The sequence below is a fragment of the Homo sapiens genome, chromosome 2 (assembly GCF_000001405.40).
Source record: "Homo sapiens chromosome 2, GRCh38.p14 Primary Assembly".
Classification (NCBI taxonomy): Eukaryota; Metazoa; Chordata; class Mammalia; order Primates; family Hominidae; genus Homo; species Homo sapiens.
In genome coordinates this window covers 18561768-18589695 of record NC_000002.12, presented here as the reverse complement: position 1 = coordinate 18589695, position 27928 = coordinate 18561768, and the positions used below count along the sequence as shown (strand labels likewise).

The following is a 27928-nucleotide window of genomic DNA, read 5'->3' as shown; positions in this document are numbered from 1 at the left end:
ATGGCTATGAGCAGATACACTCAAAATGAAGAAACATTTATTTTTTGTTTTTTAAGAAAAGGTTAATCACATATTCATAGAGTCAGTTTGTTACTATGGAATCACATATGATGTCATAAATTTGACATTCTAAATGCAAAGCTAGACTGAGCAAGGGAAGTGACAGGAAATGGAGCTGGGGAGACAAAAATGTGGATAACAACAAAAGAATTTCAACAGGTAAAAAAATGAGTCAAACATCTCTCAAACAGAAAAAGGTGAGTGAACCGAGTGTCTTAGAATCTTGCCATGGGGCTGAAGAAATGTGGATATCAGTCCATCATTTGCCTCTGCAAAGGCTCTGCAATGATCAAATAATTTCAGATAATGGCTTCAGGTAGAGGAAAAGAGAAGGGAGAGAATAAAGGCAATGGAAAGAGTACAGAAAAGGGAAGAAGGAGAAATTTAAAAGAAATTAAGACAGCAAAGAAAGAGATTAAAAAACGTGTAGTATATAAATGATTCCAATAAGTCAGTATTCATTTAGCATATACTCATATGTTAGTAGTAAAAGGTAAAAACAGTGGCTGTCTTTGAAGAATGCATGGCCTAGTAGGAAAGACAATAGACAAAGGACAACTCATTGCTCCATAAAAGTATGTACAAAAGACACAAGGAACACAGGGCAATATTTCACTCTGGGAACTTCCCCCAGGTCACACTGAGCTGGGTTTCGAAGAACACAGGAGAGAAGAGGAGACCATAAGGAAATAAGGCTGGTGTATGCAGGCAAATACAAGTCACTTGGTATTAGTAGAACATAGTGATAAAGTATAGAGTGAAGGGCATGCAAGTAGCAGGTACACAGGAAAACATCATGAGGCTCCTGGTCAAACCAAGTGAAGAAAGTGTTTATCCAGGAATGAAGCATTACTAGATTTACATCTTGTAAATATTACTCTAAATAAATACGGTGGACAGATCTAGAAGTGGAGAGGATTTAAGGCCATGAAACCTGTTTGAAAGGCTATATTCTGAAAATGTAGTCCCAGGATGGTCAGAGACCTGGAACAAGGCAATGATAATAGAGATAGAAAAAAGGAACTGGATTCAAAATATCATTTGGAATTAGAAGTAAGAGGTATTATGGTGACTGCTATGTATGTGTATAAGGTGAGTGAGGGTTGATGAAAAGATTTTAAAATTAGTTCAGGAGTCATACAGCTATGCCATTCTCTCATGCAACTAACATTCTCATGCAACTAACATTGATGAGATTTTTCCTGCATGCAAGACACAGAGCATAAACGGATGAATATAGACTGCTCTAGTGGATCTTGGTCTAACTTAGAAGTTGTGCTCCTTAAACATATAAATAACACTAATCTTGATCACATTGCAGCTACTTACTTAGCATGAAACAGTTCAAATAATATTCCAATAAGTATCTCCTCCAAATGAAAATGAAAACATAAATATTTGAGTAGAGTTCCATAAAGTGAGTCATCTTCTTGTGCTCTTTTACTTGGTTTTCCCTATCTGTTGTTAATTTGTTGGTAAGAAATCCCTTTCCACTCTAGATCTATGAGTAATTAAATGATAGGAACAGAAGACATGACTTTCAATAAATTTGTATGAGATTAAGGTCCTTATATTTAGAAATCAAACTAATATTGGTGAGGCTAGAGCCACAAAAAGTTTGAGCTGTAGTGATGATGAAAACAAGAAAAAATTGAATTCTAAATGGCAAGGAAAAGTAAGTTCCATAAGTAGCAATCTTCAGAGTAATAGAAAAAAAAACAAACTTATTCTACATAAACAACTTCACAATTCTCTAATATTTCCCATGTTATCAGTCTTTAAACAATAAATGCTTTATATCTCAAATCTATGAACCAACAAATTTCTATATTAAAACTTGTTTATATAATTCTTTTTAATAAAATATGTGTTACCTTTTACTCATGCTTGTTAGAACAGGGGAAACTAAGGTCTAGAGTTTATACCTTTTTATATTGGCAAATAAATAAATTTTGTGTTTTCTTTATCCTTTTATTCTGAAAGCCAAAGTTCCTAATGCCCTGAGATTAAAAATTAATAAACATTCTTTGTTTCCTTGTCAAGAATGAGCCTGGAATGAGGTCCTCAAAAGAGAGTCTAGAAGCAGAAAAAAGAAAGGAATCTGACAAAACAGGAGTTCGTCTGAGCAATCAGGTGAGCTGATCTCTGTAGCAGAGGTGAGGAAATTAAGGAGCAGAAAGCATAATGGAAAATGTTAGGGGGCAGGGAGTTCTGGGAGAGAAGACCAAGCTGTTGAGAATTGTATTAAGGCGTCCCTAATGTCCTCATGAGAAGGTTAAGGAACTAGGAAAGGTTGGGCCCTGCCTTCCCCTCCATCCATACCCTAGTGTTCACTTCGAATGTGTGGAACCACAGCAGGCTCCTCTGCTCAGCCTACACAGGGGGGAGACTGGTCTTTGTTCAAATCAGGGAGGGGAGGGGGTCTGGCCATGGCATTGACCACTTTCTGCACAATCTTTCAGATGAGGCGTGCAGTCAATCCGAATCACTCGCTGAGATGTTGCCCCTTCCAGGGTCACTCGTCGTGTAGACGCTGCCTTTGTGCAGCTGAGGGAACAGCCCTTGGCCCCTGCCACACAATACGTATTTATATTCACATGTGCCTGTTGTGGGAGCAGGGCCAGCAGATCACCATGATGAGGGTGAGCAGAGATCACACTACCGATTCTGGAGGGGAACCACAGACAACCTGGGTGAGGGGAAGAATATGGCAAATAGAAACTCTTTTACTTTGCTGTTCCGGGGGGTCCTTCATTCTTGTTTCTCCTAAAAGAAAAGCTTGAGGGCTCCATTCCTTTTCAGCAGCTGCCTTAGAGTCCCCCTGCAACCTCAGTGGGGCACCAGTTGCCCTCACCTTTACAGTCTGGTAAAAAATGGTGGATATATTGTTTCAGCATCTGTTAACAGGCTTATCCTCGAGGGAAGAAGTGAGGAAAAGGGAGGAACAATGGTGAACCATACTAATATCCACATAAGAGGAGTCACAGTGAAAAAATATGTTTGCATCTTGGTTTTGGATGCTCTTTCAAGTGGACCCCCACATAGATGCTCCAAACAGAAGTGAGGACTAGACCAGAGTTAGAATAGTACAGAAGAGTTCAGGTTGAGTTAAGAGTCATTGAGGCCAGGGATCTTCTCACTGGGTGCTGCTATATTCAGCCTGACATGACTATTCTGCAGGCACACGTATAGAAGGAGTTGGTGATGGGGTTTTACACCGTTGGGTTTCTTCTTTCCATCACAGGGATCACAAGAATCATCACTGCGGAAGACAGACTCTCGAGGGTACCTTGTGCGCAGTCAATGGTCTAGAATATCCCGGAGCCCATCCACCAAGGCTCCATCCATAGATGAGCCTAGAAGCAGGAACACCAGTGCTAAGGTAGAGGTAAAGATGAAAGGGAGTAGTAGATGATAGAATAATAACAATGGTTAACATTTATTGATGCTTTCTACGTGCCAGGCCCTGTTTATGTGCTTTACATGTGTTAGCTAATTTAGCCCTTGGGAGAACTCCCTTCTGCCCGTAAATCCCATTTTGCCACTGAGAAACCTGAAGTACAGAGGGAACTTGTTTAAGGTTTCACATTAATAAGTGGTAGAGCTAGCATTAAAACCCAGGGGCTCCAGATCTAGAGGCTGCACACTTCCTCCTTCCTTCCTTCATTCAACAAATAGTAATTAACTGTGATTCTCAGAAGAGGGAAGGAAATAGTCACCACCAGAGAAAAAGAGTGTCAGATTGTGTGGGGCTTTGAGTTTTTAATTAGGCCTGACCACATAAGCAATTAAAAAAAAAAGTTAGTTTTGAGATTAAGATTTTGGAAGCAGAGCGAATGACCCAGACCCAGCCACTGGGAAAGCATGCATTCCTACCTAATTCATCATCTCTATCGGATTTGACTCAATCATCTAAACAAAAACATGCTTTTTTGAGTCATGTGTGAAACAATCTGAAATCATATATGGATACCTAATAACTTCTTGCTCACCTTAGTAAAGGAGTTTTTTCTCTAGAATGGCCCTTCCCTATTTGGGAAGATGATTCTATGTAACTGTGCTTCACCGGCACAAGGAGCTCTGAAGGCCCTGGGGAGATGCTCCAGTCTCCAGACAAGAGACTTTCCCAGCCATCACTACATCATTCACATGGGGAGCGGGGAGAGACATGCCCTGAGGTGCTATGTAGAGTGTTCTGGTGAGAATGTCTGGCCCACTTTGCTCATGGAGTTAACTGGAAGTCGCACACTAAGGCACTGGCCAAGCAAGATCCATTCTGCATGCCCTCTGTCCTACCTGCAGGCCTCTGACTGAGTAGGTATATGCCAAGCAGGGGACAGAACTTTGCAAACCATGTGTCAGCTGCCTAAGGGGGAGGAAGAGGACTGGGTCCTATCTACTCCAAACAAATAAAAACGTGTGAAATGCTTATGGGGAAGCTAGGGGAGAATGAAAGCAGACAGTCTCTGTGTCTGTTTAACAGAAATATCAAACAGCTGAGGCCTAGAAATGTCCGAGTCCCTTAAGCCCTACTTAAGGAGCTGAGATGAACCAGCACCCATCAAAGGTCTAGGAATGGAATAGGCAGAAGGGACAGATCCTTGACCGGAGATGGGCAGGCAGGCCTCGACTTCAGACGCCCATTGTCTTGCTGCAGCTCCCCAGCAGCTCCACGAGCTCCCGGACTCCATCCACCTCCCCAAGCCTGCATGACTCCTCACCGCCGCCGCTGTCCGGGCAGCCCTCGCTCCAGCCACCCGCGTCGCCCCAGCTGCCCCGGTCGCTGGACTCGCGGCCTCCCACGCCCCCAGAGCCCGATCCTGGCTCCCGGCGCAGCACCAAAATGCAAGAGAATCCGGAGGCCTGGGCCCAAGGCATCGTGCGGGAAATCCGCCAGACCCGGGACTCGCAGCCGCTGGAATATTCGCGCACGTCCCCCACCGAGTGGAAGTCCTCCAGCCAGCGCAGGGGGATCTACCCCGCCTCCACCCAGCTGGACCGCAACTCTCTGTCCGAGCAGCAGCAGCAGCAGCGGGAGGACGAGGACGACTACGAGGCTGCCTACTGGGCATCCATGAGGTCGTTCTACGAGAAGAACCCGAGCTGCTCGCGCCCCTGGCCGGTGAGCCAGCCCGCCGCCCCTGGCAGCCGGGGCGCCCTTCCTTGCAGCCTCTTCCAGCCGCCCTCCTCTCCACTGCGCAGGGAGGTCCTCCCGCTTCTCCTCCCCAAACTTCGGGGAGTCCCAGCCTCAGCTGTCTCCAGCATCCCGCTTCTCCAAGCAGGGGCCCGCTGTCCTACTCTCACCCTACCCTGGAGGAGCCCCAACCCTGTCCTCTTCGTGGCTATGTGACTATCCTCCCTTTGGCGTCCCTCTCTGCAGCCCAAACCCAAGAACGCCATCACCATTGCTCTCTCATCCTGCGCGCTCTTCAACATGGTGGACGGCAGGAAAATCTACGAGCAAGAGGGTCTGGAAAAGTACATGGAGTATCAGCTCACCAATGAGAACGTCATCCTGACCCCGGGCCCGGCGTTCCGCTTCGTCAAGGTATTCTGCAAGCTGTCTTTGGCCCGCCAGGACACTCGATGGCGAGGGAGGGACCCAGGCCAACCCTTGGGAGGGCATCCAATTTCCCAGATCATTCCTAGCCCACCCTTGTCATTCTTGTCTCCTTCTAGCTGACCCAGGTCAGTTTATGATTTCGCACAGGCTTCCAGACTGTGGAGGAAGGGACTCCAGCCCACAGCCCTAGATTTGGTATGTTAGTCTTCCCTAAGTGAAGTCCTAATCATGAGACTTGTAACAGAAACCTCTCTCCCTCGAAGGAGTGCTAAGAAGCCATAATGAGTTTATGATCCTGAGTAGTAGAAATAAAACGCCATATTACAGTGAAATGAAATTCACGTTAGCTCTTCTGGCCCCAAACATAGCATATTAAGAAAATAAAGATGCCCTTGGCACTTAGGAGTGTGACTTTAATAGAGAAGGTAAGGTTCTCTGAACTTACACTGAAATGTATAGCACTTACAACTTTGATCTGCTTATATAAATATTACACAATAACATCATAACCATGCAAAAACAAATGACACCTCTACAAGTTGTTGGTAGAATGTACTTATGAGACACAGTAAAAGCATGGGCAGGATACATGTTAATACATAAAGTACTCTGACAGAATATATACTAAAATTGGAACAAAAGAGAGACGATTTGCATGACCTCTGGGCAAGATGACATGCAGATTCATGAAGCAGTCCATATTTTTCAAAATAAAAAAAACAATCATTAGATGATCGATAAAAGCAGATTTTAAAAATCAAACATAGACAAAGCATAAAAGGGTTAGCCTGACCCTACTCTCTACCTGTCCCCCAGAGATAATTCTAGTGAACCCAAAGTGGAAACAATTTTCAACAAACATTACTCATGTATTGTGAACATTAACTGAGTTCCTATGAATGAGAGGTTGATAATACAGAAATGCATGGGATAAATCTTCCTTAAAGGAGCCAGAATCTCTCAGTGAAGATTCTTCAGAGCTTGAATTTGACTCTGATGAGATGCTTCCTCTCCGGCCTCCCCAGATCCACCCTGCCTGCCCCTCTTTACACACATTCATGTTTGTAACCTGCAGGCACTACAGTATGTCAATGCTAGACTCCGTGATCTATATCCTGATGAACAGGACTTATTTGATATTGTACTGATGACTAATAACCATGCCCAAGTGGGAGTGCGGCTTATAAACAGCGTCAATCACTACGGTAAGTAAAATAAATACCATGTGGAAGACCAGCTCTCCGCTCTGAAAGAGAGAAGCCATGTTATTTTGCTAACTGTGGCTTAACCAAATGCAGTGTCTTTGATACTGACACCCCCTTCTGCGCCAGGAATGTTTATTTGCCTATGTCAGAACAAGAGAGGCCATGTTCATTTTTAACTTCAGCACAGAGTTGGGCTCAAAGCTCTGGACTTAACTTGTCAAGTGTGAATTTCAAAGTCTTAATCCTAGGTCCTGCAATATATTTCTCTGTTGTATGTTTTTCACTTCTGAACTTGACTTCAAGAAGCCGTCAACCCAAAGGCTTTTACTGTGTGATCAAACTTCTTGCTCACCACAGATTTGTGTTAAAGGTTTAAAGGTTTTCACCTCTCCTTTCCACTCTTAAAATCTGATTGTCCCCGGCTGCTCTCTCTCCCCACACATAAAATAATTTACATAGAAAATTTGATTGATTCTAGTCTCTTCAGTGTTTCTATCAGTGTGTTGGGGACTTTAAGAGAAAGTTCCAACTTTTCCTATTATGGAACTACCTGAATTATTTCGGGCACAATTAGCCTATTTTCTAAATGGGTATGTGAAGTTAAAATAACATTTAAATTGGGCATATTTACAAATAATCGAGATATAAGTTATGAGTTTTACTTTATATTATTCTAACTATAAGGCTGGAATCATTGAAGCACATTTTAAATTTTTTTGCCTTTTAAAAGTGCAGTCTTCATAGTGTTATGAAGTAAAAAGAGAGAACATAAAAATTTAACATAGATGAGTGGCATATAGCAATCATCTAGTAAACAACAGCTAGTATTTAACAACACATAGCCTTAATTGATTTAGTAGGTGATTGAGGTCTATCTATCCCTCACCACGCTGACCTATCAAGGCTGGAAGCATAAGAAATCAGTTATTCACCTGTTAATTCTGCTGATGAACTGATTGTGTACAACCTTCTCATGCAGCCTTGTTCATGGAATAAAAATCTTTTGACCCAGAAGAGTTAGTTACTTCCTTCTCTGGGTACTGAAAGCAATTCGTATCTCCGTCTGCCAGGGTCTTTATTATAACAAATGTTTTACATGCCAGGCTCCTCAGTGAACTGTGATCTCCTTAAGAAGAGGGATGATGCTTTAATCATTTCTGGAGTCTCAGTGTCACCAAATAATTTCTGGGTGATGAAATTCATATGATTTAGGGATTTGTAGAATACACTTTTGTGCCACATATGCCCAATATTGACATAAGTGAAAAAATGAGAGCATTTTCTAATACCAAAGCAGATACTTCCACCAAGACAGTTAATGGACCTGACCTACTCTCTTGGTCCATACAGATGACAAACAACTAACTAGACACAGTATTCTGCTTTATATCATGTGCAGCTACCCAGTTTATCATATATCTAAAAAAAAAACCTCTGAATATTTTATCATATGAATAATCCTATACTTTATATAACTACTGTCACATTGTTGAACATGTTTTGCTTTTATAAATAACCCTAAACTGAGACCTTTCTGTAGAAATCGTTATCAGAATTTCAGAATATTCCTTTTTTTAAAAAAAAGGAATCTTAGGTCAAAAGGTACAAACCTGTTAAAAGCTCTTGATACATATTGCATATCATCAAATCACTTTCTAGACAGCTTGTACCAATGTACACTTTTACCCGTAGTATATGAAGGTGCATATTTTATAAACCTCTTACAAACAGCCAGTGTTTTTTTGTAATTGTTACTGATTTAAAAAAGCATTTGATGTTATATTAATGTTGAATGATGATAATTCACTGTTATATGGCTAAATCACATGTCATGAGGGTTTGGTGTAGAGATTACTTCATTACCTAGGTAATAAGCGTATTACCCAATAGGTAGTTTTTCAATCCTCATCCGCCTCCCACCCTCCACCCTCAAGTAGGCCCTATGTCTATTGCTCCCTTCTTTGTGTCCATGTGTACTCAATGTTTAGCTCCCACTTATAAGTGAGAACATGTGGTATCTGGTTTTCTGTTGCTGCATTAATTCACTTAGGATAATAGCCTCCAGCTCCATCCATGTTGCTTCAAAAAAGATGATCTCATTCTTTTTTATGGTTGTGTTCCATGGTATATATGCACTACATTTTGTTTATCCAGTCTATCATCAATGGGCATTTAGGTTGATTACATGTCTTTGCTATTGTGAATGGTCCTGCAATGAAGATATGTGTGCATATATTCTTTTTGTTTTTTTTGAGACGGAATTTTGCTCTTGTTGCCCAGGCTGGAGTGCAATAGTGCTATCTCGGCTCATGGCAACCTCTGCCTCCCAGGTTCAAGTGATTCTCCTGCCTCAGCCTCCCGAGTAGCTGGGATTACAGGCATGTGCCACCACGCCCGACTAATTTTGTATTTTTTTAGTAGAGACAGGGTTTCTCCATGTTGATCTGGCCAGTCTCAAACTCCCGACCTCAGATGATCTGCCCGCCTTGGCCTCCCAAACTGCTGGGATTACAGGCGTGAGCCACCATGCCCTGCCATGCATATATTCTTATGGTAGAACAATTTATATTCCTCTGGGTATATACCCAGCAATGGGATTGCTGGGTCAAATGATAATTCTGTTTAAAATTCGTTGAGAAATCTGCAATCTGCTTTCCACACCAGCTGAACTATTTTACACCCCCAAAAGCAGCATATAAGTGTTCGTTTTTAACCACAACCTCACCAGCAGGTCATTTTTTAACTTTTTAATAATAGCCATTCTGACCGGTATGAGATGATAATCTCATTGTGGTTTTGATTTGATTTTCTCTAATGATTAGTGAGGTTAAGCATTTTTTTCATACGCTTGTTGGCTGCATGTATGTCTTCTTTTGAGAAGTGTCTATTCATGTCATTTGCCCAGTTTTTAATGAGGTTTGTTTCTGCTTGTTAATCTGTTTAAATACCTCACAAATTCTGGATTTTTGACCTTTGTTAAATGCATAGTTTGAAAATATTTTCTTCCATTTTATAGGCTGTCTGTTTACTCTGTTGATAGTTTCTTTTGCTATGCAGAAGCTCTTTAGTTTAATTAGCTCCCATTTGTCAATTTTTTCTTGTTGTTGCAATTGCTTTTGGTGTCTTCATCATGAAATCTTTGCCAAAGCCTGTCCAGAATGGTATTTCCTAGGTTTTCCTCTAGGGCTTGGGCTTTGAGTTTTATGTTTAAGTCTTTAATCCATCTTGAGTTAATTTTTGTATCTGGTGAAAGAAAGGGGTCCCATTTCAATCTTTGGCATATAGCTAGCCAGTTATCCCAGCACCATTTATTGAATACAGAGTCCTTTCCCCATTGCATGTTTTTCTTGACTTGGTTGAAGATCAGATGGTTGTAGGTGTGTGGCTTTATTTCTGGGTTTTCTAACCTGTTCCATTGGTCTATGTGTCTGTTTTTATACCGGCACCATGCTGTTTTAGTTATTGTATCTTTGTAGTATAGTTTGAAGTTTGGTTATATAATACTTCCAGCTTTGTTCTTTTTGCTAAGTTTTGCTTTGGCTATTCCAGCTCTTTTTTGATTCCATGTGAATTTCCAAATAGTTTTTTCTAATTCTGTGAAAAATGTCATTGGTAGTTTGATAGGAATAGCATTGAATCTGTAAATTGCTTTGGGCAGTATGGCCATTTTAACAAAATTGATTCTTCCTATTCATGATCATGGGATGTTTTTCCATTTGTTTGTGCTGTCTTTGATTTTTTTTCCGCAGTGTTTTGTAATCCTTGTAGAGATTTTTCACCTCCATGGATAGCTGTATTCCTAGGTATTTTATTTTTGTGTGTGGTGATTGCAAATGGGATTGCATTCTTGATTTGGCTTTTAGCTTGAACATTGTTGGTATATAGAAATGCTACTGATTTTGCATATTAATTTTGTATCCTGAAACTGCTGAAGTTATTATCAGAGCTAGGAACTTTGGGGCAGAAACTATGGCATTTTCTAGGTGAAAAATCATATCATCTTCCAGTAGAGATAATCTGATTTCCTCTCTTTCTATTTTAATGTCTTTTGTCATTCTCTTGCCTGACTGCTCTGGCTAGGACTTCAAGGACTATGTTGAATACAAATGGTGAGAGTGGGCATCCTTGTCTGATTGCAGTTCTTCTAGCTTTTGCCCACTCAGTATGATGTTGGCTCTGGGTTTGTCATAGATGGCTCTTATTATTTTGAAGTATGTTCCTTTGATGCTGAGGGTTTTTTTGGGGAGGGGATTAACATGAAAGGATGTTAAATTTTATTGACAGCCTTTTTTGCATCTATTGAGATTATCATATAGTTTTTACTTTTAGTTCTGAACTAAAAGTTTAAGAACTTTTAGTTCTTTTTACTTTTATTTGATGAATCACATTTATTGATTTGTGTATGTTGAACCAACTATGCATCCTAGGAATAAAGCCTACTTGATCACAGTAGACTAGCTTTTTGATGTGCTGCTGGATTGGGTTTGGTAGTATTTTGTTGAGGACTTTTGCATCTGTGTTCATCAGGGATATTGGCCTGAAGTTTTCTTTTTTCTGTGTCTCTGCCAGGTTTTGGTATCAGAGTTATGTTGACCTAATAAAATGAGTCAGGGAGGAGTCTCTCCTCCATAATTTTTACAATAGTTTCAGTAGGATTCATACCAGTTCTTCTTATATGTCTGGTAAAATTTGGCTGAGGATCCATCTGGTCCAGGGCTGTTTATGGTTGATAGGCTTTTTATTACTGATTCAATTTAGAAACTTGTTATTGGTCAGTTCAGGGTTTCAGTTTCTTCCTGGTTCAATCTTGGGAGGTTATATTTTTCTAGGAATTTATCTATTTCTTCTAGGTTTTCTAGTTTCTATGCATAGAGGTGTCTGTAACAATCTCTGAGGGGTTTTTGTTTTGTTTTACTATTTCTGTGGGGTTGGTAGTAATGTCACTTGTGTCATTTCTGATTGTGTTTATTTGGATTTTTCTCTCTGTTTTTCTTTGTTAGTCTAGCTAGCAGTCTATCAATCTTATTTGTTCTTTCAAATAACAAACTTTTGGTTTTTTGATCTTTTGTATATTTTTTCCCATCTCAATTTCATTCAGTTCAGCTCTGATTATGGTTATTTCTTCTGTTAGCTCTAAGGTTAGTTTTTTTCTTTCTTTTTTTTTTCTAGTTTCTCTAGGTGTGATGTTATGTTGTTAATTTGTGATCTTTCTAACTTTCAATGAAGGTGTTTCGTGCTATAAACTCCCCTCTTAACAGTGTTTTAGCTATGTCCCAGAGATTCTGGTATGTTGTATCTTTATTATCATTAGCTTCAAATAATTTCTTGATTTCTGCCTTAATTTCATTGTTTACCCAAAAGTCATTCAGGAGCAGGTTGGTTGTTTACTTTCCATGTAATTGTATGGTTTTGAGATAGAGCCTTTTTTTTTTTTTTTTTTTTTTTGAGACAGAGTCTTGCTCTTTCACCAGGCTGGAGTGCAGTGGCGCGATCTCGAGAGCCACATCTTAATAGACCTTTACAGTTAGTGAGGAGGCTGTAGTTCAAGAAAAAGTACCCTGTTCTAGCCCAGACAAGAGTCAAACACTTGGGCTCAAGTCTGCTCTATGCATCTAAATCAGTGTGTTAGATAAGTCTTTATGTCTAACTTTCCTTTCCTGTAATGAAGATAATAATACCTTCAGTATGTTTGTGAGAATAAAATGGCATGATCTATGTGAATATACTATGCCCATAAACTGTAATGTACCAAATACAACCACTATTACATAAAATAGTTGAGGAATTTTAAATATTGGTACCATAAGATGATTTTTAAAGTTTATTTCTAAGGTAACTTTCCTTTAGGTTCACAAATAAAGCCAGTTGAATTTACAAATAAACTCAGTTATCTCTAAGGTAACTTTTACTTGGATTTACGGCATTTTGTCTTTAATCTCTGTCATAACAAAGTCTTTCTTGCCTGATAATAGGCTTACTGATTGACCGCTTCTGTCTGACCGGGGGAAAAGACCCCATTGGCTATTTGAAGGCATATCTTACCAACTTGTATATTGCTGCAGATTCTGAAAAAGTGCAAGAGGCAATACAAGAAGGTATTAGTCTGATTTTATTCCTCTAGTTAATAAAGAGGTTTACACTAATGGTGACTTACATTAAGTTTCGCATATGATTATGAGGCTTATGGTCTTGTTGGATATTCTTCTGAAGTTTTTCCACATGGGGCAACACTTAAGTCTGTCCTTTAGAGCTTTGACTTTCCTGGAAATGGACATCCTCAGTAATTGTCCTACAATCCATTTCACATGTTCCATCCCTATAGAAACAGAGGCAGTGCATAGACAACTGTTCTGAGGTCTGTGGTTGTGAAGAGGAGTTGAGCCATCAGGTAATAGCTAGAGAGAAAACATAAGGTCTGGGAGAATTTGTTTTTTTTAATGGTAGAAACTATAACTCATGGACCTGAGAAGAGTATTAATCAGTCTCCATGATCTATCAGGTATTGCCTCTGCGACAATGTTTGATGGAGCCAAAGACATGGCTTACTGTGACACTCAGCTCCGTGTAGCCTTTGATGGGGATGCTGTCCTCTTCTCTGATGAGTCTGAACATTTTACCAAGGAGCATGGGCTCGACAAATTCTTCCAGTATGATACATTATGTGAAAGTAAGCCTCTTGCTCAGGTAGGTTCAATGAGTGCTAATTAATTTTTATGTACTTATTTATTTTCTAATATATAAATATCAATATTGGTCCATTCTGATGAATGTTTAAGTTATTCTAGGCAGGGCACTCCTTCTTACTGTCTTATCTTTGGAGCTTTCTCTCTTTCTTTCATGAATGGCTCACTTTGATGCATTCACTGCTGACAACTTTATTTTTAATTTTCACATTATTTTATCTATCCTTTTGGAAATACTTGCATGATCTTCCCATGATAAGAAGTCTGCCCTCTCCCAATTGGGAGTAACAGGAAATACTGCTTATCAATAAGCCATTTCTACATAATAAATTCTCAAAATAGTAGGGTCATTTCCAATAGATTAGAGTAAGCATTTGTTGAATCTCTGTCCTTGACTTCAAACTCAAGAAAGGCATCGCTTAATTGAGAAAATATGCACAACTAAGAACTTGAATCAAATAATGATCCTCAAACAAGTGCAAATTATGAATATGTAATCAAACTGAAACTAAATATTTAGATTGTTTTGGATTAGTGCTGTTGAGTACCTTTCAATCCATCCATGAACTGAAGTGTTAAAATCAAGGTCGAAAATGAACAGAACCTATAACTTTTGAACAAAAGGAAATCTGAAATCAAAATGTCACTTAATCTGAATCTAAACTGATAGGTCTTTTAATTTTATTCTATCAATTTTCCCAAGAAATTTAATTGTTCTTTTTCTCAGTTCTTCCTGAACTTAAGTTAAACTTAAATATTGTTATTTTTATATAAATTCATAAAAGTATGAATAGACTAATTGAAAGTTGAAAAGTTTTTCTACTTAGTCACCTCTCATTAAAGCAAGCAATATTTAAACTATGGGAGTGTGTGTTCAACTTCATATTCTCTTTCTAAATAGCTCCTTTGGAAACCCTGACCTAGTGTTATAAAGTTCTGTATTAACAAAGCTTACTATTAAGAAAATTCTTTGTTATATTTTATATCAGTCTACTCTGCTGAAATTCAGAGCCTTTCACCATTATTGAAATGTGGAAATCCTCCATAAAAAGAACACTTAAACAAAAACACTTCAAAGAAAGCATTACTTCCAGACAAATGTTAAAGTAGTATTTTCCCATCTGAAGTAAATAATCTAAATTTCTTTTAGATTTTACATTTTTCAGTTCTTTTCTCATTTTGTACTTTGTTCTTTTTTTCAGCTTTATTGAGTTATATTTAATTTTTAAAAGTTGCACATATTTAATGTATACATTTTGATGAATTTGGACATATACATACACTCATGATACTGTCACTACAAATAAGGTAATAAACACATCCAGCACTCTCCTTGTCTTTTAAAATTTTTTTTGTATTGTGGTAAGAATACTTAGCATATGATCTATCCACTTAACAAGTTTTTAAGTGTACAATACCATATTGTTAACTATAGGCGCTACATTGTACAGCAGATCTCTAGAATTTATTCATCTTAGCAGATCTTCCAGGTCTCATCCATTTTGTTACAAATGGTAGTATTTCCTTCTTTTTAAAGGCTGACTAATATTATGTTGTGTCTTATCCCACATTTTCTCTATCCATTCCCCTGATGATGGACATTTGGGTTATTTCCAAATATTGGCCATTGTGAATAATGCTGTAGTAAATGCTGCAGTTTACATAGCTCTTTCAGATCCTGCTTTCATTTCTTTTGGATATATACTCAACAGTGGGATTACTGAATCATTTGGTAGTTGTTCTATTCTTAGTTTTTGGAAAAACTTCCATTCTGTTTTCTACAGTGGCTATACCATTTGACATTTCTGCCCACAGTGTATAAGGGTTCCACATTCTCTACATACTCCCCCAGCATTTGGTATCTTTGTTTTGTTTTGTCTTCTATAATAACCATCTTGACTGGTAAAATTTGATATTGGATTGTGGTTTTTATTTGGATTTCTCTGATGATTAATGTGTTGAGTACCTTTTCATATACCCATTGACATTTGTATGTGTTCTTTAGAGAAATGTCTATTCAAGTCCTTTGCCCATTTTTAACCAGCTTAATTTGTTTTTATTTTGCTGTTGAGTTGTAAGAATTCCTTGCATATTTTGGAAATTAACCCTTATCAGATGTATAGTTTGCAAATATTTTCTCCCATTCCATAGGGTGCCTTTTCACTCTGTTGTTTCCTTTGCTTTGCAGAAACTTTCTAGTTTTATGTATTCTCACTTATTTTGCTCCTTAAATTGCCTTTTTCTCCCATTAAACAATTAAAATTGTGAATCCCAACCCTACTTATTGCAGGAATACTCAACACATTTCTAGTATACATGCTTTCCTTTATTATGCAGTACTTCTGCCAGTTTAAAAAACATGCCATTTTTTTACATGAAAAAGATGATTTTCCATAAAGGCCAGAAGGCCTTGCTGGGTGTGTTCCACTGATGAGAAAGAATGTATGAGGTACAACTCCTACTGAAGACATTCAAGTATGTTGCTAGTAGGGTGTTGGTTTGGTCATGACAGTATCTTAATTTTGTCAAATGGAAGAGGTCTGAAACTCACCAGCAAATGGGACAGCTGGAGAGGATTAATTTAACAAGTCTGAATGTAGTTTATGAGCCTCCAATCTCCAATGTAGTACAGTGACAAGTAACTGATATCTCCTGATTTGATCCCTATCTCTTGTCTCACCATTCTGGAATAATGGTCTCTAAGTGTGTGTGTGTATGTTTGTGTGTGTGTGTGTGTGTATCAGAATTTTTGAGGTATATTTATATAGAGTAAAATTTATAATTTTAAGTGGATAATTTCATTTTAACAAATATATATAATTGTGAAATAACCACTAACATAAAAATACATACTCAACAGTTTCGTTAAATCACTAAATTCCCTCATGCCCCTTTGTAGTCATCCTAGTACCCTATCTCCACACCCCATCAACCACTGATTTCTTTTTCTATAGTTTTGCCTTTTCCAGGTGTCACATAAATGGAATCATACACGATGCAATCTGACTTCTTTTATTTATCATAGCATAATGCATGTCATTGCATGTATCAGTACTTGGCTCCTTTTTATTGCTGAGTAGTATTCTATTCTGTGGATGTACCACATTTTCTTTATTCATTTACCTGTTGAAGGAGTAGGTCATTTCTAGTCTTTGACATTTATAAATGAAGCTACTTTTAAACATTTGAATACAAACTTCTGTGTAAATATAAGATTTCATTTCATTTTTAAATACCTAGAAGTGGAATTGCTAGGTCATGTGATAAATAGTGTATGTTTTATTTGATGAGATACAGTAAAATTATTTTCCCAAACGACATAACATTTTGCATTTCTAAAAGCAATGCATGGTTTTGTTGCTTTGCATTGTTGCTGGCCTTTGGTAGTATTCAGTATTTTTCTTTTCTTTCTTTCTTTAAGCAATTTTAGTGTTGATAAAAAAATTATCTCATTGTAGTTTTGGCTTCATTTCTTTAATGACAAATGTTACTGAGCATCTTATCAGTGCTTTTTTCCATCACATATCTTCTTTGGTGAAGTACCTGTTCAAATATTTTCCTTATTTTATTGGGTTTTTGGTTTGTTATCAACTTCTGAGAGTTCCTCATATGTTTTGGATACTCATCCTTTATCAGGTGTGTGTTTTACAAATATCTTCTCTCAGCCTGTGCTTGTCTTTCATTCTAACATCTTTCAGTGCTTTTCAGTGAGCAGAAACTTATAATTTTGATGAAGTCAGATTTATCAATTTTTTCTCTTAGAAATTGTGCTTTTAATGTCATATATAAGAAATCTTTGCCTAATCCAAGGCCACAAGGATTATCTCCAGACTTTTTATATAGAAATTTTATGGTTTTAGGTTTCTTACTTAGGATTATCATCTATTTTGAGTCAATATGGTATTTGTGCAAAGCACAAGTTGTGGTTCATTTTTCCTCCTTATCCTAATTTCCTGGATATCTTAATTGTTCAAGCATTATTTGTTGAAAAGGGTGATTTTCTGCCTTGTTCCTTTAATACAGATATTCATCCCTTTATCAATATTACATTGTCTTGATTATTGTAGTTTTATAGTAGTTCTTTTTTTTTTTTTTTTTTTTGACAGAGTCTCGCTCTGTCGCCCAGTCTGGAATGCAATGGCATGATCTCGGCTCACTGCAACCTTCGCCTCCCGGGTTCAAGAGATTCTCCTGCCTCAGCTGCCCGAGTAGCTGTGACTATAGGCACCCACCACCACACCCAGTTAATTTTTGTATTTTTAGTAGAGAGTAAAATACCATATTGGCCAGGCTGGTCTCAAACTCCTGACCCGCCTCAGCCTCCCAAAGTGCTGGGATTACAGGCATGAGCCACTGCACCTGGCTATAGTATTTCTTAGGCCCAGGTGGTGTGAATACTTCAACTTTGTTAAAATTAACATATATATATATATATATATATATATATATATATATATATATATATACACACACACAGAGAGAAAGAGAGAGAGAGTACAGTCTGATTCCCTTGCACTTTCATATAGATTTAAGAAGTTTATTTCTGGGGGAAAAATTTTTACAAGAATTTTTTATTTTTATTTTATTTATAGCTAGATCTTGGGATAATAGATATCTTAACAATATTAAGTCTTTCTGTCCATGGACATGGTATTTCTCCTCTCCTCATTTATTTAGATCATTTAAATTTTTTTTTTAGTCTTTTGTAGGTTTTAGCACACAGATATTACATTTTTTTATTTATACCTATGCATTTTGTAATATTTTGGTACTATCATAAATGGTACTTTAAAAATCCTTACTGTCCGATTATTTATTGCTAATACATAGAATCACAATTGGTTTTTGTATTCTGCAACCTTGTTCAATTTCCTTGTTAGTTCTCGCAACAATTTTGTAGATTGAGATTTTCTAAGTCAACAATAATGTTGACTGTGACTAAAGACAGTTTTATTTCTGTGTTTCCATGCTGTATATCTGTTATTTATCATTCTTGCCTTTTTACCTTGCTAGTACATCCAGTACAATGTTCAGAACAGTGATGAGGGTGGACACCCTTGCCATATACCCAGATCTTAGAGGGACATCAATCTTTCACTCTTAACTGTTATCCATTGATCTTTTCTAGATGCCTTTTGTCAGGTTGAGGGAGCTACCTTCTCTTTCTAGCTGTTTGGGAGTTTTTATAATAAATGAAGGTTGAATTTTGACTAATGCCTGATTTGCATCTATTGAGAAAAAACATGTGGTTTCTCCCCTTTAGTCTGTTGTTATGTAAATTACATTAATGGATTTGTAAAAGCTGAGGCAGCTTTGCATTGTTGGTATTAATTCAAGTTGGTCATGTGGTATTATCCTTTTCATATATCGCTGAATCCAATTTGTTAATATTTTGTATTATTTATTCATTTATGTATTCATGTTCATCCTCTACAGTTTTCTTCTCTTGTAATATCTTAATCTGACTTTAGTAACAGGGTAGTACTAACCTCATAAAATGTGATACAAACTATTTAAAATGTTTGGTAGAATTTTTCAGAGACGCCATCTGAGTCTGGACTTTTTTCTTTGTTGGAAGGCTTTTAACTACTGATTCAATTATTTTGATAGCTATAGAACTTCCATTTTTCTTTTTCTTCCTTTTCTCATTCTTTTCTTCTGTTTATGAGCTTGCATTTTTCAAGGAATTTGTTCATTTAAATAACTGAATTTATGGACATAAACTCTTAGAGTGTTTTATTAATATGTTTTTAACATTTGTAGGATCCTTAGTGATGTGTCCCCACTTTTATTTCTGATACTAGTAATTTGTGTCTTTTCTTTTTTGTTGTTGTTTTTCTTGGTCAGTTTGGCCAGAAGTAAATCAATTTTCCTGAGCCAGCTGTTCCTAAGTTTTCAAATGTGGAAGCTGAGACTGTTAATTTGAAACCTCTCTTCTTTTCTAATATAAGCACTTAATGCTATAAATTTTCCTCTAAACACCGCTGTAGTTGCATCCCACAAATTTTGATAGATGATTTTTTTTTATTTAATTCAAAATATATTTTTTAAATTTCTCTGTAATTTCCTCTTTGAAGGAAATAGGTTAGAAGTAGGTTATTTAATTATCATATATTTGGAGTTTATTCAGATATCTTTCTATTGTTGAAACAAAGCTTAACTCTGTTGTGTTGTGATTAGAAAACATATTTTGTATCTCAATTATTTAAATTTGTTGTGGTATGTTTTATGCCAAGAATATGGTCTATCTTGATGAATATGTCATGTGTATTTGAAAAGAATATTCTGTTGTCATTAAGTATTCTATAAATGTCAATCAGATTATGTAAATTAATTCAGGTCATATTGCTTGGGTTTTCTATATTGTCAGTAATTTTCTGTCTACTTGCTTTATGTACTATTGAGAAGGCAATGTTGAAATCTCCAAATATATTTGAGAATTTATCTATTTATCCTTTCAATTTTATCAGTTTTGTATCATGTATTTTGAATCTCTGTTTTTAGGTGCCTACATATTTAGGATTATTATATTGTCTTAATCTTAATTAATATCTTTTCATTATGTAATATTCATCTGATACTCATATAATCACTCCAGCTTTTTTGGGGGGGCTAATGTTTGTATGATATGATTTTTCTATACTTTTATCTATGTCTTTATATTTAAATTGTGTTTATATTTAACTTATTTTTCTTATAGATATTACAGTTGGTGCTGCTATTTTATACAATCTGGCAATCCCTGTGTTTTAATTGCTGTTTTTAGGACATTTAAATTTAATGTGATCATTGCTTTGGTTGGATTAAAATCTACTATCTTCCTATGTTTTTTCTGTGTTCCAACTGTTCTTAGTCCCCTTTTTCTTTTCTTTTTTCCCCTATTTACTTACAGACTTATTGTGTGTTTTTACGTTCCATTTTATCTCCACTATTGGCTTATGACTCATTTAAAATTTTTTATTAGTTACGCTAGTGTTTACAATATACAACTTTAAGTAATCACAGTCTATTGTCAATGTTATACTCTACAACATCATATGTACTGTAAGAACCTTGCAACAACGAACTGCCAAACTCTGCCTCTCATGTTTTGTGCTACAGTTGTCATATATTATTTTATCTATTCTATAAACTCTCTATACTTTGCTACTGTGAACCTCAAAAATCTGAAACAGGTCTCAGTTAATTTAGAAAGTTTATTTTGACAAGGTTGAGGATACGCATGCATGGCACAGCCTCAGGAGGATCTGACGACATGTGCCCAAGGTGGTCAGAGCACAGTTTGGTTTTATTCATTTAAGGGAGATATGAGATATTAATCAACATATGTAACATGAACATTGGTTCGGTCTGGAAAGGCAGGACAGCTTGAAGCAAAGGTAGGAAGACTCCAAGCGGGTTTGAGTTTCTGATTAGCCTCTCCAAAGGAGGCAATCAGATATGTAGTTATCTCAGTGAGCATAGGGGTGACTTTGAATAGAATGGGAGGCAGGTTGTCTCTAAGCTGTTACAGGCTTGACTTTTCCCTTTAGCTTAGTGACCTGGGGACTGCAACATTTATTTTTCTTTTCCACTACTATTTCTGTTTTTGGCAATTAAATACCGTCTAGTAAATAAGGATGAGGCAAAAATATGTATTTCATATTCAAATTCCTTTTAATCATTTTCAGAGATCTTCCTTTCTTTGTGTAGATCAGGTTTTTCTCTGTTATCATATTCCTTCTGCCAGGAGATCTTTTGTTTTATTTTGTTTTGTTTAACATTTCATGTCGTACAAATCTACTGGTACTGAATCTCTGTTTTTCTTTGCCTAAAAAGTTTTAATCTTATTTAGTTTTTAAAACAATATTTTATTTTTACTGAATGTAGTATTCTGGGTTTACTGTGTGTTTCTCCCAGCACTTTAAAGATGCTCTTCCATTGTCTTCTCATTTGTATAGATTTTGATGACAAATGTTATGAATTTTGTATCTTTGGTCCTTAGTATGTAATGTGTCTGTTTTTGTCTGGCTGCCTTCATAATTGTCTATATTTCCTTTGGTTTGAATATGAGAGGGGAGTGTGTGTGTGTGTGTGTGTGTGTGTGTGTGTGTGTGTCCCACAGCATTTCAATGCTCTGCTCTTTTTTCCCCACTCTTTTTTTCTCTTTCTCTTTTCAGTTTGGGCAATTTCTATTGACCTGTCTTCAAGTTCACTCATTATTTCTTCAGCTGTGTTGAGTCTACTGACACATCCATTAGGCACTCTTTATATAGTTCCATTCAACTCTTTTCATTTCAATCTCTTTGCCAAAATTGCTAGTCTACTCATGTATGGTATCCACCTTTAAAGTAGACATTTAAAGATATTAATCACAGTTATTTTCAATTCCCTCTGTTATATTTGTGACACTTGGGTCATTACTAAGTCTAGTTCTTTTAATTTCTCCTAAAAGTAGATTGTTCATTTTGTTTTGTTCTGTTTTACTGTGGGACTAGCAATTATTGTGATAGATTGAATCAATCAAATCAGGTATTAAAGTTGTTTTAGGTTTTGTGGTTGCTATGGTTATCTTCATGGCACCACAGGATCCAAGTTTGTCTGGTATCAACTTTGTTCTTAGGGTGCAAACTGGCTTACCAGAGGGTTTTTCTCAAGATTTCTAGTCGACTTTCAGCAGCAGGCCTTCCCTGTGTGTCTGCTGCAGAGAAGGTCTCCTCATTCTTACCCCTTCCCAGCTATTTCTTCTATCTTCCTAGGGCTTAGGGATGAACATCCTGGATCTTGCCATGCCCCAGTGATAGCCAATATCTAATGGTACCAATCCTTGATAGTCTCTTATTCTCCCAAAGTTAGAATGTTTTCTTCTGTAACAGTGGATCTTTACTCATGCCCTGGAGGATAACAGTGTTTGAAGCTCTTCTAGCAGTCTAGGCTCTTTGTTCCTGAGGGTATAAGCAACTAGGGGGAGTTTTAGTCTTTGCCCCCAGTGGCAGCTGCTCCCCTCCTCCACACCTGTACCATCAAGGATGGCTTTATTCTATCACCCCACTGCCTGCAGTCTTTGTCATCAGCATCTAGTGAAGTCCATGGAGAAAAGCCTAAAAGAGAGTGTGTACTTCTTGTGCCTGTGGATCCTAGGGCTTCTATGCTCTCTCATTGGTGGACCCTAGTTCTTTGTCAATGTCTTTTTGAAATTACTTGAATTGCTTGTACTTGCTTGTATGGAAGCTGGTATAACTTTCTTCAACACTCTACCAAAAGTACACAGTTCTTGCACTCCATGTCTTCTTGAAGATGACTGTTTTTCCCTAGTTTTCATGCTAGGTGGTTACCCTGCAATCTCAGCTCTTTGATGGGCTCAAGAAAAGTTATTTTTTAGATTGGAGTTTTCTTGTTATTAGGGTGGGAGTAACAGTCTCTCCCTAGTATTTGCTTTTTGTAAGCTTCCCTAGTATTGTTATATTTTTATTGATAAATTATATGCTGTACTACTGTGCAAATGTATAAATTATAAAACATACCCCAATATAGAAGTAAAAGAGAATGAGATGGGTACTTGGTTTGAATGTGGTGACATAACTCAGCATTCTCTGTTTCTTCCATTTGGAAATCATCCAAAAACAGCAAGGGAAACTGTGCCCCTCTGTGTTTTAAAGACTAACTGCAATGAGGGTGGTTCCTGCCAACAGTCACTATGAGTTTTCTGCTTTTGTCATAAAAACAGTCCCAGTTTTTTCACCTATATGTATGGCCTCTTACCGTGAGAAAGCAAATTTACTTGTTTTTTTCTAAGATATACAACCTTAAAGAAAATTTAAGCAAATGGTTACACAATAAGTCATGTTTACAGAAAACTGTTTGTTTCCATGACAGCAAAGAAGGGAGCCTTTGAATCATGAAAACAAGTCAGTCTCCAAATACTACCCTTGACCTTCCCCTAGAAACCCACCAATTATCCCAAGAAAAACCAGTCTACTTCAGTATAAGTAATAATAAAAAGAGAGCTGACATTGAATACATTCAAAGATACTATGAGAAAAAGGCAGATTAAAAAAGAAAAAAATCTAATAACAGATGAAGAGCTCTTACAAGAAAAAGTTGACATAATACAGATAATTATGACTGAACATTTGCCATGACTTTTAAAGACTTAAAGCAAGATCATAAAGTAAAAATGCAATAGTCAAGGAAGACATGATAAAATGTGAAAGTTATAGAATGCTGTAAATCTTTCGTCCCTTCCAATAGAGTTATTACCCATCTGTTACTGTTAAAAATACAATTACATATAGAAAAATGACAGAAATAGATAACAGGTAAAGAAGACCCAGCATATGCCTAAGTAGAATCCCTGAAGAAAAACTTTAAAATCATGTTGGGGGAGGGGGACTGATGTTAAATATAAAGATGCAAATTAATGTAAAAATATAAATTAAAAACTGCTAAATTATCAAAGATGTTTATATATATTAAATGATTAAAATATTAAAGATTAAAAGCCCATATTGTATGACAGAGGTATAGAATCAAAATGACCATCACTGAGACATGGCCTAGTGAAATTACTGGGCTTCAAAATGAAGAAATAATTATCTGGGCTGCCTACTCATGTAAGTGATGGAAGAGGTGGCATGGCAATCAAGAGGCCCTCAAACTTCTCAAGAGCAGCATTCAAAAGCAAAAGACAGTGGAGCACTACTTATAAGATCTTGTGGAGAATCTTATATGTAAATCATGGATTCTATATCTAGCCAAAAGTTTATTCAAGGACAGAGGAAATAGATATATAGTTGAGAATATACTATATTCTCAGGGATTATTACCATAAGATGTTTTTGAGAAAATCAGTACTACAGGACAAATTTCGGCCAACATGCAGAGGACTAGAAGCACAAAGGCACAAATGGTCATATAATATACTTAACCATAGAATTAAAACTAAAACAACCGTACAAATGAACAAATTTGTATGATGTACAAATTATGTAACTAACAAAAAATGGAAAAATATGGGGAAAGAAGGTCTACGGAAGAAGTATGCTGGAATTTTCAGTTACAATAGCCAATCAAAGGATGAAATGTAAACTTGATAAACAGAAATAAAACAAAATGTAATAATGCAAAAGAAACACCAAGGAAAAGTAAATAAATGACTAAAATTAGATGGTGGAGAAGAAATAGAGGACTACAGAGACATTGAAGAAATGCCCTGCTTTCATTATTTCTCATTATGAAGAATAATAGATCTGGGATTCTTTTTAAAATAGAGGACTGAGGGTACTATAAAAGGTTATAGTTGTAAAGGTAATTTATAGAAGGAAATAATGTAAACCTTCTTAAATGTCAGAAGAACCACCCACACACAACTACAAAGAAGAAAGACACAGATTATTGAACAATCCTTTAAAAATTTTAAAACATGGAAAATGCAATAAAAACCATAAGACAGAAACAATCTCAAGTATGTTTGTAATATGAATAAATGTAAATGAACAAAAACTTAACTATTGTTTTAAAAAATAAGATTTTCAGGTTGTATCACATAGCAAAATCCAATTCTAGGCTCTGTACAAGAGATACTAAAACCAAGTGTTTGGAAAGGTTAAAAATGAAAGACACAGTTAGATTCAAGCCAAACAGCATTAAACTAGACAAAAGCATATACTTCATAAAGTTAAAATGCACAATTCACAAAAAGCAAATTAAAAGAGTAGTGCTTTGGTAACTAATTAGAGTTTATTTAGAGTGACCCTCTATTCCAGCTTACCATGGATAGTTTATGTCTGTTGTCCTGGCTTAAGTATTTATTGAACATTCTTTCATACCTAAAGTATATAGGTTTACATGTTAAATAATATGGTCATTTTAGGCACATTCCAGGAATGCAAGGATGGTTCTATATCAGAAAACATATTCACATAAATTCCTATCAAGTTTTAGCATTTTGCCATCAGCTTCATAACACTGCATGTCATGCTGTATTATATCCTTTGTATTGTATCGTATCATATAGGTCTCTGCTTTTTAGCATTCACTTTCTTTGGCTCACTGTATCACAGCTGTGATATATGTTCCTTTTACAGGGTCCCCTAAAAGGCTTTCTGGAAGATTTAGGCAGACTGCAAAAGAAGTTCTATGCCAAAAATGAACGGTTACTTTGTCCTATCAGGACCTACCTGGTTACAGCTAGGAGTGCAGCCAGTTCAGGCGCCCGTGTGCTGAAGACCCTTCGACGCTGGGGTCTAGAGATAGACGAAGCTCTTTTCCTTGCTGGAGCCCCCAAAAGTCCCATCTTGGTGAAGATCCGGCCCCACATCTTCTTTGATGACCACATGTTCCACATTGAAGGGGCACAGAGGTTAGGTTCCATCGCAGCTTATGGCTTTAATAAAAAATTCAGTAGTTAGGGGCAGGGAGGAGAAATAAAGTGGTGATAGTCTGGTGTTACAGAAGCCACTTCTTTTGGCTCTCTAGGATAATTAGATAGGTATTTCAGAAAATTGGACCTTAAAACTTTGCTTCTTTGGAAAGGTTTTCTCCTGATTTTTTGGAAAACCTTTTGAACCCTCAAGTTACCATCAAACTACTTCTCTTTGAACTACCAATACTGTTGAATGCCATTACACCTATCTCTGTGTAAGTCATAATGATGACTCTTTAGGATAAGTTTAGAACTTGAATATTTGCATGCTTAAGGCACTGTTTTAGAAGCTTACTTAGTTTTATAAACACTGCTCATTTTTGGATGTTTGTAGATAACAATGAATTGTTACCCATCAGCATTGTAGAATAGTGTCTTCAAAGGTAGAAGGAGTATGGTTAAGCACACTCTTGAAAACTGGAGCTTTGTATTCTGTGACTGCTATGGCTAGCTTTGTAACCAAAGCAAAATGAGAATTTCACTCTACCTGCATGAGTATAACAATTTTGATACTGCTCATTTAGAAATAAATCATCTGGTTGTTCCTCCAGGGTACTTTCTAAGATAAGCCTTAAACAGAAACCCCTAAGAAAGGTTCTCTGAAAATTATTTGGTGGGTTAAATGCCTCTGATCCACAGAGTTTCATATTTGAAGTCTCCGGCTTTGGGCCTGGCAGGCTGGCACATCCATATTTGTATGGAAAAAAAAAAAAAAGACCCTACGCTACCACTTCAAAAAGTGACATGAAGTGTAGTATCCTGGCCCTTCATTGTCATTCTCTCATGATTTTTGTTTTGTTTTCAACAAAAATTGGTTGGTCATTAAATATATCATATGTTAGGCACAGTGACCTGGTTATTTTCACATGTTACTTCATTTTCTTATCAAATTAAATGTTTGTGACATAGTATTATTATTACCTTCCTTTTTATCAATGAGGAGCCTAAGATTCAAAAAGATTAGACAGCTTGTTTAAGGATATGGAGCTAATAAGTGTTAAGACTAATTAGATTCAAATTCAAATCTTACTTCATAAGTTATAATGAGGTCTCTTTCCTCCCTTCCAAATAGAGTTATTAATTTCATGGCCTTTGGACCCATCTGGTACAGATTAATCATTTCATTAAGTTCCATGCATAAACTACACAGCAGTTACACTGCAGGTCTAAGGATTCCTCCCTCCTCTTTTCCTCCTACCCTCTCCTGCTCTCTCTACCTCCACCTTCATCTCTACTCCACCTGTACATATGTATTCCACCCCTGGCTCTAGATGAGAGAAGACCACAGCTGAAACACATCTTCTGATGCTCCCTAATTTTATGTAAACCAGTCCAAAATATATCAGTTGTGACATGTGACACTGAGTACCTACCATTTTGTAGGTGTCCTCCCATGCAAAGACCACAAGAGGTACGCAGACACAATCCTATCCTCTAGGAAACTTGAAACCTTAACAATCTGGTCAAGGAAGTCAAATGTGCAAACTCAAACAGCCAATACTAGAAGGCTGTTTGTCTTCAGTGCCAGTGAGGGTCACACATGACCCTGAGGGTCACACATGAAGGGAGCAGAGATCTTTATAGGCTGGAAGTGGTCAGGAAAGAAAGACTTGAGGTAGCCTGTGATTTTGATGGATGGGCAAGATGTGGATGGGTAGAAAGGACAATAAAGTGGAAACATATGCTGGGGGATCAATGAGTTTGAGTAGCAGCTTCAAATTGGGGATAGGGTGGTGTAGGACCACCTCTCATGATTCCTGTTCCTGGTGCCTTGTATAATCCCCAGTAAGAGTGCTCTTTCCCACCTCTGAGCTCCATTCTCATTACTCATAAGAAACCTCCTGGAATCCATCCCTTTTTCTTTGTATTCTGACTATTAGTTGCATGTTACATCCTTCCCAAATGTAAGGGAGTGGAAGATGGATTATCACAATTATTGGGGAGTTTGTCTCAAACGACACAAGCTGTGGTTCTTTTTCCTTGTCTGGAGAACCTGCAATGGGTGGAGGGTGGG

The 27928-nt window shown here is 37.1% G+C and overlaps 2 protein-coding genes, 1 long non-coding RNA gene and 1 pseudogene across 20 annotated transcripts in view; 3 read left to right on the top strand and 1 right to left on the bottom strand.

Moving 5' to 3' along the window:
• Nucleotides 1-27928, bottom strand: part of LOC105373456 (uncharacterized) — a 529181-nt gene that overhangs the window by 499661 nt on the left and 1592 nt on the right. For 6 of the 13 annotated variants that reach the window (XR_007086234.1, XR_001739304.3, XR_007086229.1 and 3 more), the window contains one exon: nt 25670-25875. This is a non-coding gene — a long non-coding RNA (uncharacterized LOC105373456). Of the gene's footprint in view, nt 1-15; nt 3438-25669; nt 25907-27928 lie in introns of those variants that run through there. The other 7 variants (XR_007086227.1, XR_001739311.2, XR_007086228.1 and 4 more) reach the window with 3 other exon arrangements.
• On the top strand, nt 127-26825 carry NT5C1B (5'-nucleotidase, cytosolic IB). Of its 5 annotated transcripts, none has more exons than NM_001199086.2 (10): nt 127-257; nt 2104-2193; nt 2574-2702; nt 3305-3442; nt 4718-5182; nt 5441-5608; nt 6699-6828; nt 12801-12923; nt 13328-13512; nt 25577-26825. In NM_001199086.2, exons 1-10 carry the CDS (start codon nt 228-230, stop codon nt 25898-25900), a joined length of 1782 nt encoding a protein of 593 aa, NP_001186015.1. In that variant the 5' UTR covers nt 127-227; the 3' UTR covers nt 25901-26825. The 5 variants fall into 5 exon arrangements, with proteins under 5 accessions (NP_001186015.1, NP_001002006.1, NP_001186017.1 ...); NM_001002006.3 differs by having other exon boundaries at nt 2523-2702; NM_001199088.2 differs by having other exon boundaries at nt 2523-2702; nt 3305-3448.
• The window catches only part of NT5C1B-RDH14 (NT5C1B-RDH14 readthrough), a 34847-nt gene continuing 7045 nt past the window's right edge, over nt 127-27928 (top strand). Inside the window, exons 1-10 of one of the 2 annotated variants that reach the window (NM_001199104.2) lie at nt 127-257; nt 2104-2193; nt 2523-2702; nt 3305-3442; nt 4718-5182; nt 5441-5608; nt 6699-6828; nt 12801-12923; nt 13328-13512; nt 25577-25851. In NM_001199104.2, coding sequence (NP_001186033.1) covers nt 228-257; nt 2104-2193; nt 2523-2702; nt 3305-3442; nt 4718-5182; nt 5441-5608; nt 6699-6828; nt 12801-12923; nt 13328-13512; nt 25577-25851 — 1784 coding nt within the window. In that variant the 5' untranslated portion in view covers nt 127-227. Of the gene's footprint in view, nt 258-2103; nt 2194-2522; nt 2703-3304; nt 3449-4717; nt 5183-5440; nt 5609-6698; nt 6829-12800; nt 12924-13327; nt 13513-25576; nt 25852-27928 lie in introns of both variants that reach the window. The other variant, NM_001199103.2, reaches the window with a different exon arrangement.
• On the top strand, nt 6228-6329 carry RNU6-1215P (RNA, U6 small nuclear 1215, pseudogene; annotated as a pseudogene).